Below are 11,379 nucleotides of genomic sequence, written 5' to 3' on the forward strand. Positions count from 1 at the left end.
CAGGAGAATTGCTTGGACCCAGGAGACGGAGGTTGCGGTGAGCCAAGATTGCACCACTGCATTCCCACCTGGGTGAGAGAGCGAGACTCCATCTCAAGAAAAAAAGAAAGTCATAGGATTAAGTAGGAGGTTGTCACAAGATACAGGTCATAAAGACCTTGCTGATAAAAAAGGTTGCAGTAAAGAGCCAGCGAAAACTCACCAAGACCAAGATGACCACACTGACCCCTGGTCTTCCTCACTGCTACACTCCCACCAGTGCCATGACAGTTTACAAATGCCATGGCAACAACAGGAAGTTATGCTATATGGTCTAAAAGGGGGAGGCATGAATAATCCACCCCTTGTTTAACATGTAATCAAGATACAACCATAAAAATAGGCAACCAGTGGCCCTCGGGGCTGCTCTGTCTGTGGAATAGCCATTCTTTTATTCCTTTACTTTCCTAATAAACTTGCTTTCACTTTACTGTATGGACTCGCCCTGAATTCTTTCTTGCATGAGCTCCAAATGCTTTCACATTTCATCCTATTTGTTTTTGTTGTTGTTGTTGTTGTTTTTGTTGTTTTTTTTTTTTGAGACACAGTTTCGCTTTTGTTGCCCAGGCTAGAGTGCAATGGCGCAATCTCAGCTCACTGCCACCTCCGCCTCCCAGTTCAATCGATTCTCCTGCCTTAGCCTCCTGAGTGGCTGGGACTACAGGCATGTGCCACCATGCCCGGCTAATTTTGTATTTTTAGCAGAGATGAGGTTTCTCCATGTTGGTCAGACTGGTCTCGAACTCCCGACCTCAGGTGATCCGCCCACCTCAGCCTCCCAAAGTGCTGGGATTACAGGCATGAGCCACCATGCCCGGCCTCCTTCTTGTCTTGTATGTCCTTAGCAGCTTGACCTTGTAACCATGTGGCCATGCTTTCTCTTTTCATAATGGCAGCCCTGGTTTAAAGTCCAATTCCCAGTTTAGGGGATGATCCTTATCTTCTGTCTGTCTGTGTATTTATATGTATTATGTGTGTAATGTTTATATATGGAAAAGCTTTAATTAATTGGTTTAACAATAAGAATTGCTTAAATCAAACATTTTATCAGAAAAGTAAAAAGTGGAATACCCTTTATTTAGTTCATGTGACTTAAGTAATCTTTGGGAAATAAATACAGTTTTAAAGATTATTGGTAAAATAAAAAATCTTCAAAAATGTAAACATTTTGTCCGGGTGCGGTGGCTCATGCTTGTAATCTCAGCACTTTGGGAGGCCAAGGCGGGCAGATCATTTGAGCTCAGGATTTCGAGACCAGCCTGGCCAACATGGTGAAACCCCATCTCTACTAAAAATACAAAAATTAGGTGTAGTGGTGCAAGCCTGTAGTCCCAGCTACTTGGGAGGCTGAGGGAGGAGAATTGCTTGAACCCGGGAGGCAGAGGCTGCAGTGAGCCGAGATTGAGCGACTGCACTCCAGCCTGGGTGATGGAGCGAGACTCTGACTAAAAAGAAACAAACAAACAAACAAAAAAAAATGTAAACATTTGGTCTAAATTATACAGGTCAGATATTAAGTTTGCTAAATTCTTTAAGGTCATAAGCTGCTTCTTTGACTATTAAAAATTGTTCAATTTTAGGCTGGGTGCAGTAGCTCACGCCTGTAATTCCAGCACTTTGGGAGGCTGAGGCAGGCAGATCACAAGGTCAGGAGTTCAAGACTAACCTGGCCAACATGGTGAAACCCCATCTCTACTAAAAATACCAAAAAATTAGCCAGGCATGGTGGTGCGCACCTGTAATTCCAGCTACTCAGGAGGCTGAGGCAGTAGAATCACTTGAACCCAGGAGGCAGAGGTTGCAGTGAGCCGAGATCATGCCATTGCACTCCAGCCTGGGCAACAGAGGGAGACTCTGTCTTAAAAAAACAAAAAAACCCAAAAAACAAAAAACAACAACAACAAAAAAAATTGTTCAGTTTATCTACTTTGGAGCATTAGATTAAATGTGTTATTGGTACATGTTCCAAAATTATGAGAAATTCCTATAATTCTAATATGACTTAGCGTATGTTATTAATAATTGTTACATAAAATTTTGTATGCAACAGAAGTAACCAAAATTTCCTAGTTAATTGTGGCTTTACTAGTGGCTGTCCTAAGACTTTTTTTTTTTTTTTTTTGAGACAGATTCTTGCTCTGTCACCCAGGCTGGAGTGCAGTGGCACGATCTCAGCTCACTGCAACCTCTGCCTCCTGGGTTCAAGCACTTCCTCTGCTTCAGCCTCCTGAGTAGCTGGGATTATGGGCACCTGCCCTATGCGGCTAATTTTTGGATTTTTGGTGGTGACGGGGTTTCACCATGTTGGCCAGGCTGGTCTCAAACTCCTGACCTCAAATGTTCCACCTGCCTCCGCCTCCCAAAGTGCTGGGATTACAGATGTGAACCACTGCACCTGGCCCTAAGACTTTTTATCATCCACAGACAATTGTTGTCTTGTTTTGATCTTCTTTAGAAGGTAGTTTATAATCAGCCATAGGACTTTAACAGGTGCACTTAAATGCAGGTTTCTGATAACTTTGGAGATTGTGACATTAGAATAGAGGAAACAACTTTCAGAACTCTCATGGGGAGCTGAAATGTTCATAGATATCAAACAAAAGTTAACTGCATAAACTAAAGAAGACTAAAGCAATCTTTTTGCCTTTGCTTAAAACATTGCTGATCCTTTGTTTTATTTTTTAGAGTCAAGGCAACTTTTCTTTTCAGATATTTACAGCTTTTAATAATCGAGTAAAGTATACTCCTGTGAACAAAATTTGGAGTATATGCATCTCTCTACTTGATTTCTCCAGAATTTGGAAATTATTTGTGTGTATTCTTAATTTATGGCAATGCAGTTATTTGCATAAGGGTAATAAGAATCTGTTTTCTTTTGCAACAGGACACAATTGGAGAAATTGTTTATTTTATGAAGGGTTTGACTGGAATGGTGTGCTTTCCATTAAGGAATCAAACTTGACTTGTAAAGCCTATAAAAGCCACTTAGCGACCTGGGCTCATAACCTTGCCTACACAGTCCCTGTACAGGGTTTCTGACCTGTGGTAAGTAAAGAATGTCACCTTCTAAAAGGTCCAGGAGCCCCAAGTTATCTGGGGACCTCAAAAGGAGAGGAAGAATTTACCCAACTCAAAGGTATTTGAGGGCACAAACCCATGGCAGGGCTCAGCTTTAAAAAGTCTTATCCAAGATTCTTTCTATGGAACAGAGTTCCATCAAAGCCAATTTTAAAAGCCTACGTGAAAAATAATTATTCTTGCTGCACTTTATACAATCATCAGGCCAAGTATAATAAAGCACATTGGTCTTACCATAAAAATGGTCTTTCATAAAAATGGGAAACTGGAGAGAGAAAAATTATGTTTCAAGAACTATGATACACTTGTTATTAAATTCCAGTCTCATCAGTTGTCTTTAAGTTTGTTTCTGCAATTTAGGCTAACCCTGCTTAGTCCTGTGAACCAACCAGTGGCCTCTGACTGCTGCTCAGAAGAAACAAGAGGGATGGGTAATGTAAAAATCTGCATCAATATTCTAATTCTGGGCATGTACTGGAATCATCTAGCAACCTCATATCAGCGTGGTTCCAACAGTTCCTCAGTTCATGGAAAGCCTTCTAGTTTAGTTTACTTGGGATAATTTTACTTATTTTGCTTTATGGTTGTGGAATGTATAGCTGTTGTAATCTTTGTATAGGAATGGAGGACAAGCTTACTGAATGTTTCCTTAAACTGAACACTTATGAATCTTCCAGAGTATCACCTTTTGTCAGAACTCATGAGTTATGAATGGCCCTCAAGATACCAATGCTTTTTCTTCCCTTCCCTTCCCTTCCCTTCTTTTCTTTTCTTTCAGATGGAGTTTCATTCTTTCAGGCTGGAGTGCAATGGCACAGTCTTGGCTCACTGCAACCTCCGCCTCCCAGGTTCAAGAGATTCTCCTGCCTCAGCCTCCTGAGTAGCTAGGGTTACAGGCACCCGCCACCACATCTGGCTATTTTTTTTGTATTTTTTAGTAGAGACAGTGTTGCACCATGTTGGCCAGGCTGGTCTGAACTCCTGACCTCAGGTGATCCGCCTGCCTCAGCCTCCCAAAGTGTTGGGATTACAGGCATGAGCCATCCCGCCTGGCCCATACCAACACTTTCCAACTGAGCTCCTCTCTACCACGAATATGAGAGATTCTAAGAGTTAGGCAAAAATATCATCGCCCCTATTCATCCTGAAGAACTTACAGAAGATGGACCTTCGTCCCTCTGCAACCCTTAGGATTAGTGCTTCTCTTATAAAAGGAAGGGGGGAAATGTCAGAGGCACGTGAACCAGAGCAAGTCTATTTTGAACAAGAGCTGAGTAAAATGAGAATGAGACTTACTGGGCTGCATTCCCAGATGGTTAAAGCATTCTAAGTTACAGAATGAGATAGGAGGTTGCCATAAGATACAGGTCATGGCCGGGCATGGTGGCTCATGCCATGACAGTTTATAAATGCCATGACAATGACAGGAAGTTACCCTATATGGTCTAAAAAGGGGAGGCATGAATAATCCACCTCTTGTTTAGCATATCATCAAGAAACAACCATAAACATGGGCAACCAGCAGCCCTCGGGGCTGCTCTGTCTATGGAGTAGCCATTGTTTTATTCCTTTACTTTCCTAATAAACTTGCTTTCACTTTACTCTATGGACTCGCCCTGAATTCTTTTTTTCTTTTTTTTGAGGCGGAGTCTCGTTCTGTCACCCAGGCTGGAGTGCAGTGGTGCGATCTCGGCTCACTGCAACCTCCACCTCCCGGGTTCATGCCATTCTCCTGCCTCAGCCTCCCAAGTAGCTGGGACTACAGGCGCCCACCACCATGCCCGGCTAATTTTTTTGTATTTTTAATGGAGACGGGGTTTCACCATGTTAGCCAGGATGGTCTCAATCTCCTGACTTTGTGATCCCGCCTTGGCCTCCCAAAGTGCTAGGATTACAGGCATGAGCCGCCGCACTCAGCCTGAATTATTTCTAGTGTGAGATCCAAGAACCCTCTCTTGGGATCTGGATTCAGACCCCTTTCCTGTAACAAGATTAGGCACCAGGAGAAACTGACACACATGGATGATATAACAGATGCCTAAATGGATCCTATGGGGGAACTGGAGCTGGAACAGCCCTTTAGAGTTGTCGCAAAGTGAGGCAAAGAGGCTAGACTTTTATATCCCTCCATCAATCAGTGTTTGACATGGGCCCCATAGGAGGGCATGTAACCTTCGGTGAGGCATCTTTCTGACTTGAAGGGCATTGCCCAATGAGGGAGGTAGCTATGTGGTATCAGCAGCTGGTATTTCCTACATGTAGCGAATGGGCATATTGGCTCCCAAGGGGGAATCTGGGTGGAGCACTATAGTATCCATTAAACCTAGTAAAGAAATATTATTTCTTTACTAGTCACACAGATGTGCCCAGGACAGTGGTAGAGCCCACAGGGTTACATAAATCATAATGGTAGCCCTCAAGAACTTCATAAACTGTATATGGTATTTTAAAAAGTTGCATATTGTCTGTTTCCACCTACTAGAACATAAGCTCTAGGAGGGCAGAGACTATGTTTTGTTCACCACTGTTTCTCCAGTGTCTAGACGTAGATTCTTTGAATGCATTTAATTGGAGCCTTGAGATATGAAGAAGTAGGATGCGGTTACTTCATGCAGAGCAAGAGTGGCATGCACCCAGAGAAGGCCAGGTGGAGCTCAGCATGAGTGTGAAGGCCTCATGTCAAGCCATGTCAGGGGACACAAAGATGGAGTATTCTCTAACCTATGTGACACTCGGCATAAGGGAAGTACAAGCACTCAATATGTGAGTTTCATTCCCACAGTCTGTGGTCTTTAGCCCAGTCTTTCCAGATGCCTATTGAGTTCTTCAAGCATCCAAATGGTTTGGGGTAAGGCTTCAGGTTCTAAATGAGAGGCTTTGTGGGTTACCAGCTGGAGAGTCAGAAAATCTGGATTTGAATTCACTCAGCCATGAAATAATTGTGTGATCTTGGGCCGGGCACGGTGGCTCACGCTTGTAATCCCAGCACTTTGGGAGGCCAAGGAAGGTGAATCACTAGAGGTCAGGAGTTTGAGACCAGCCTGGCCAACATGGTGAAACCCCGTCTTTTTTTTTTTTTTTTTTTTTGAGACAAAGTCTCGCTCTGTTGCCAGGCTGGAGTGCAGTGGCACAATCTCGGCTCACTGCAACCTCCGCCTCCCTGGTTCAAGTGATTCCCCTGCCTCAGCCTCCCGAGTAGCTGGGACTACAGGCGTGCACCACCACGCTAATTTTTTTGTATTTTAGTAGAGATGGAGTTTCACCATGTTGGCCAGGATAGTCTTGATCTCCTGACCTCGTGATCTGCCTGCCTCGGCCTCCCGAGAAACCAAGTCTTTACTAAAAAATATCAAAATTAGCCAGGTGTGATGGACCTGTAGTCCCATCTACTTGGGAGGCTGAGGCAGGAGAATTGCTTGAACCTGGGAGGTGGAGGTTGCAGTAAGCTGAGATGGTGCCACTGCACTCCAGCCTGGGGGACAGAGCAAGACTCTCTCTCAGAAAAAAAAAAAAAAAAAGTTTGATCTTGGGGAGTTCTAAGGCCCACTAGCCTCATCTGTAGAATGGAAGCAATAGTACTACTTTGCAGAGCTGACTTCAGGACCAAGAGATCTAATGTCTATGAAGCGGGGTACTTCCTTCTATTTGTCAGGATGGGGGAGGCTAGTCCTGTGATGACTGGGAATGAAGGGTAAAAGAGACAGAGGTTGGGTAAACTCCAGGCTCTGTGTTCATAGCCTGCTCCCAGACATTCTCTTGTTATCTCTCTGTTTCCTAGCCTACACACGTGCACAGACACGTAGCTGCTGTTCAGGAACTGAGCTAATGGTTTTAAAGTCTGTTCCTTATCTTTGCTGGAGGCAGGCAGTAGCTGTGCAGTGACAGTGTGCCTATGCAGACAGAGGGAGCAGTGAATAGCAATAGGGTGTTTCCACCATGGTCTTCACTCAGGCCCCGGCTGAAATCATGGGCCACCTCCGGATACGCAGCCTCCTGGCCCGGCAGTGCCTGGCAGAGTTTCTGGGTGTGTTTGTACTCATGGTAGGTAGGATCACTGCGGGAAGGAAAGAAGGGGGTTGGGCAAAAGTTCCTGGCTCCTTCTGTTGTCCTTATCTCTTTCTCTTGGTGTCCCCCTTCCTCTCAACTCCCTATCACTTTTCGTTTTTATCCTCTCGTCTCTCCTAATCTCCTTTCCTCTCCTACTTCATCATTTTTATTCTTGTCATTTTTATTCTTTCTTTAATAACAAGTGTATCATAGTTCTTGAAACATAATTTTTCTCTCTTCAGTTTCCCATTTTTATGAAAGACCATTTTCATGGTAAGACCAATGTGCTTTATTATACTTGGCCTGATGATTGTATAAAGTGCAGCAAGAATAATTATTTTTCACATAGGCTTTTAAAATTGGCTTTGATGGAACTCTTCCATAGAAAGAATCTTAGATAAGACTTTTTAAAGCTGAGCCCTGCCATGGGTTTGTACCCTCAAATGCCTATGAGTTGGGTAAATTCTTTTCTTTTTTCCCACATTCTTTCCCTTTCTTCTTCCTCCACTTTCCCCATTTCTTTTCCCTTCCCTCCTTCTGCTTTTCTCCTTCCCTTGCTTGTCTTCTGTGCTCATTCATCTCCTTGGCTGCTCCCCTGGCCTTCCCAACCTTTCTCCCTGTTGGTCTCCTGGGCTCCCTGTTCCTCATCTCTCCTCTTCTCAGCAGCTCCTCACCCAAGGAGCTGTGGCCCAGGCTGTCACCAGTGGAGAAACCAAAGGCAACTTCTTCACCATGTTTCTGGCTGGCTCTCTGGCCGTTACGATAGCCATCTACGTGGGTGGTAACGTCTCAGGTGAGGAGGGTGGGGTCTGGTCATCAGAGCACGTGGGATGTGCATGCCAGTTTGTCTGTCTGGTGATGGTGGAAACGCAAATCCTTCTGTGACTCGTGGACATTATCCCCTTGAACAGTGTCCCAGACTGAAATAAGCCTTTGGCCCCACCAGCCCCTCCTCTTTCTGTATCTCTCCATCCTGCTTCCTCACACTAATGCTTGGCTCACCTAGACAGAAATCAATGGCAGGGCACGAAGGGCAGCTGCTATCCTCTTGTATCCCCCACCTGAAGTCCTCTGGGGGCTCATCTCCACTCAGGACCTCTCCTGTTTGTACCCCAGATACACACTGCATCGGTGTGCTTGGGTGGAGCCTTGAGACATAGTGTGTTGCTGTGGAAAAAGCAGACAGACCTAGGTTCCAACTTTGGATTCACAGTGTCTTCTTCTTTTTTTTTTTTTTTTTTCTTTTTTTTTGAGATGGAGTTTCACTCTGTTGCCCAGGCTGGAGAGCAGTGGTGTGATGTCTGTTCACTGCAACCTCTGCCCCTGGGTTCACGCGATTCTCCTGCCTCAGCATCCCGAATAGCTGATTTTACAGGCACCTGCTACCACGCCTGGCTAATATTTGTGTTTTTAGTGGAAACGGGGTTTCACCATGTTGGCCAGGCTGGTCTGGAATTCCTGACCTCAAGTGATCCACTGCCTCGGCCTCCCAAAGTGCTGGGATTACAGGCGTGAGCCACTGTGCCTGGCCCACAGTGTGACTTTGCTAAGTCACTTAACATCTGTAACATCTGGAGCCTCAATTTCCTAAGCTGTGTGATGAGAATTACACTATCTGCCTTAAGAGCTATAGGAAGGAGCAGTAGTGTTGTCTGGTGACAATGCCTGGCAGTGACACTTAATAGATGCTCTTTTTCTTTCCTTGATACTTGAAGGGGCCCACCTGAATCCAGCCTTCTCCCTGGCCATGTGCATCGTTGGACGCCTCCCCTGGGTCAAGCTCCCCATTTACATCTTGGTGCAGTTGCTGTCTGCTTTCTGTGCTTCGGGAGCCACCTATGTTCTCTACCATGGTGACAGAGGGAACAGAGGGAGCTGTGCCTTGAGAGCACCTGTGGGTGGGCAGGGGTGCCTCAGAATGGTTTTGGATGAATGAGCAAAGAGGGAAATCCTGGGTGTTCCCTTCCTCCACAGATGCCCTACAGAACTATACAGGTGGGAACCTGACAGTGACTGGCCCCAAGGAGACAGCCTCCATTTTTGCCACCTATCCTGCCCCCTATCTGTCCCTGAACAATGGCTTCCTGGATCAGGTAAGTGTGAGGGGGAGACCTGGGGACACTACTTTGGTCCTGTTCCTCGGCACCCCAGCCTATTGTTCAGTCTCTGGGTGGAGTGTGGGTTGGGTCTATCTTGGCACTCCCCACCATCCCCAACTGCCTGTGTTGCACAAAGCCAGATGACATGGAATATTTGGATGAGAGAGGGCAGATGGAGCACCTGGCAGCTGACAGGGAACCCTCTGCCTCTGTTGACTCCAAGGTTCTGGGCACTGGGATGCTGATTGTGGGGCTCTTGGCCATCCTGGACAGACGGAACAAGGGAGTCCCTGCGGGTCTGGAGCCTGTGGTGGTGGGGATGCTGATCCTGGCCCTCGGGTTATCCATGGGTGCCAACTGCGGGATTCCACTCAACCCTGCCCGGGACCTGGGCCCACGTCTCTTCACCTACGTGGCTGGCTGGGGTCCTGAAGTCTTCAGGTGGGAGACAGACTCTCCTGGTGCTGGCCTCCACTCACCTTCCTCTGCTAAGGGCTCTGTCCCTGGGTCCACAGCACTCTGCCTTTAAAATAGCTCTCTTGGCTTCTTAGGACAGTGTTCTTTCTCCAAGTCATATTCTCCCCCTTTCTCCCTTGCTTCCCTCCCAACTTTTCACTGAAACAGTAAGATTTAGAGGTTGTGTTCTTAGGCATGCCACATTACTTCCATGCACATTAGTGACTTCATCAGCAAAATTAATATATTCAGATAATTCCCTAAGGCAAGAGGCTGGACCAAGCTCTCCTGGGGTTCCCTCTTCTAAATACTATGCTTTGGTGACAAGGCAATCCTCTTCCTGGTGTCTACCACCCTGGGAACAACTTTAGGGCACTCTCTTGTTACTGCCCCCCGTCCTTGGAGAGGGGAAGGCTAAGGGAGTCACTCCTGATACCTTCCCACTGTCCTTCTTTTGCAGTGCTGGTAATGGCTGGTGGTGGGTGCCTGTGGTGGCCCCTCTGGTGGGGGCCACCGTTGGCACAGCCACTTACCAGCTGTTGGTGGCTCTGCACCACCCTGAGGGCCCAGAGCCAGCTCAGGATCTGGTGTCTGCTCAACACAAAGCCTCAGAGTTGGAAACTCCTGCCTCAGCTCAGATGCTGGAGTGTAAGCTATGATTAGGACAACCCTCACTTCACTCATGGACCCTGGAGCCAGCCACTGACCCCGCCTGGGAACAACAGTCATTCTTCCTCTTTGTTAATGTGCCAGAACCTGGGAGGCTTCTCTGTTTATCTGTTTGGCATCCCTTCCTCCTAAACTAAGAAGGATCCTGGACAGGGAGAAGTGGAGGAGGATAAGGTACCAGGACTCAGGCTTCTCATCCCCTCCTCCCGCAAAGCGGTTTTCTGACCCTCAGGGCCTCTCGGAATGTAGTTGCTCGAGGTAACCGCTAGAGGGTGCGCACCTGGATGCTGGATGGGGACGGCTGCGGGCATCTGCAGGGTGGAGGGGGCCACCATCCAGTGTAGGGCACAACCCTGGGGACTGCCCTCCATAGCCTGTCCCGACTGCCGACTCCTAGCTCTCATCGCCTCGGCGCCTCCCACCTTCACCCTCTCGGGGATGCCTCCCCAAGAGGGTAGTTAGGGGTGGGGAAGCCGCCTCCACCCAGGGGGCGTGGTGGGGGCGGAGGGAAGGAGGGCGGCGGGGCACAGAGACAGAGAGCAAGGCTGTGAAACTGAGGCACCGTTCCTAGACATCTCGGTGCTGTGTCGTTCATTCAAGGAGAGTTGAGATACAGTGAAATGAGCCAGGGCGAGGAGGGAGGGTGAAGGAACGGAGGGCGGGCGGCTCCGAGGAGCGAGAGTCGGGCTGAGGGCAACCTGGCGCCAGGGAAAATTCTGGTTATTCACCACTTCTACAGCTCTCCTGCCGCTCCCTGCAGAGGATGCTCGTTTTGCAGAGAAGGCAGTGTTCCTCTATTCCCTTCTTCCGAATTAAAAATACCCCCTCAGAGCGATCTAGCCTCCCGAATTGTTTTTTCTTTTAAGATGCGGATGGACGTACGTGTGGGGGCATCCCAGCCCAGCCACGCCGAGGCTCGGAAGGGCTAAGACCCTCCCACTGCCCCGCACAAAGATGGCTGCTCCCTCCTCCCCGCTCCTTCTCCCCTCCC

At 47.3% G+C, this 11,379-nt stretch overlaps 1 protein-coding gene across 3 annotated transcripts, besides 3 other annotated features; it reads left to right on the plus strand.

The window, feature by feature from the left end:
* Nucleotides 6,770-6,961: a silencer, noted in NCBI's record as "fragment chr1:154293348-154293539 (GRCh37/hg19 assembly coordinates)". NCBI's record gives its function as "represses an EF-1alpha promoter that drives an FKBP-Casp9 reporter gene in an ReSE screen in HepG2 liver carcinoma cells {active_cell/tissue: HepG2}" and the evidence as "EXISTENCE:reporter gene assay evidence [ECO:0000049][PMID:32094911]".
* AQP10 (aquaporin 10) lies at nt 6,991-11,223 on the plus strand. 3 transcript variants are annotated; one of them, XM_011510104.3, is made up of 6 exons: nt 6,991-7,158; nt 7,828-7,957; nt 8,880-9,017; nt 9,139-9,257; nt 9,487-9,704; nt 10,180-11,223. In XM_011510104.3, exons 1-6 carry the CDS (start codon nt 7,054-7,056, stop codon nt 10,376-10,378), a joined length of 909 nt encoding a protein of 302 aa, XP_011508406.1. In that variant the 5' UTR covers nt 6,991-7,053; the 3' UTR covers nt 10,379-11,223. The 3 variants fall into 3 exon arrangements, with proteins under 3 accessions (XP_011508406.1, NP_536354.2, XP_047289503.1); NM_080429.3 differs by having other exon boundaries at nt 7,831-7,957; XM_047433547.1 differs by lacking the exon at nt 7,828-7,957.
* Nucleotides 10,384-10,463: an enhancer, noted in NCBI's record as "active region_1776". NCBI's record gives its function as "activates an Ori minimal core promoter by ATAC-STARR-seq in GM12878 lymphoblastoid cells {active_cell/tissue: GM12878}" and the evidence as "EXISTENCE:reporter gene assay evidence [ECO:0000049][PMID:35858748]".
* Nucleotides 10,904-10,983: a silencer, noted in NCBI's record as "silent region_1352". NCBI's record gives its function as "represses an Ori minimal core promoter by ATAC-STARR-seq in GM12878 lymphoblastoid cells {active_cell/tissue: GM12878}" and the evidence as "EXISTENCE:reporter gene assay evidence [ECO:0000049][PMID:35858748]".

Source organism: Homo sapiens, chromosome 1 (assembly GCF_000001405.40).
Source record: "Homo sapiens chromosome 1, GRCh38.p14 Primary Assembly".
NCBI classification, from domain to species: Eukaryota; Metazoa; Chordata; class Mammalia; order Primates; family Hominidae; genus Homo; species Homo sapiens.

Coding starts and splice junctions, on each gene's coding strand:
- AQP10 (XM_011510104.3), top strand. CDS start 7,054: ATGGTCTTCACTCAGGCCCCGGCTGAAATCATGGGCCACCTCCGGATA. Junction 7,159..7,827: donor TGGGTGTGTTTGTACTCATG/GTAGGTAGGATC, acceptor TCCTCTTCTCAG/CAGCTCCTCACCCAAGGAGC. Junction 7,958..8,879: donor CGTGGGTGGTAACGTCTCAG/GTGAGGAGGGTG, acceptor TGATACTTGAAG/GGGCCCACCTGAATCCAGCC.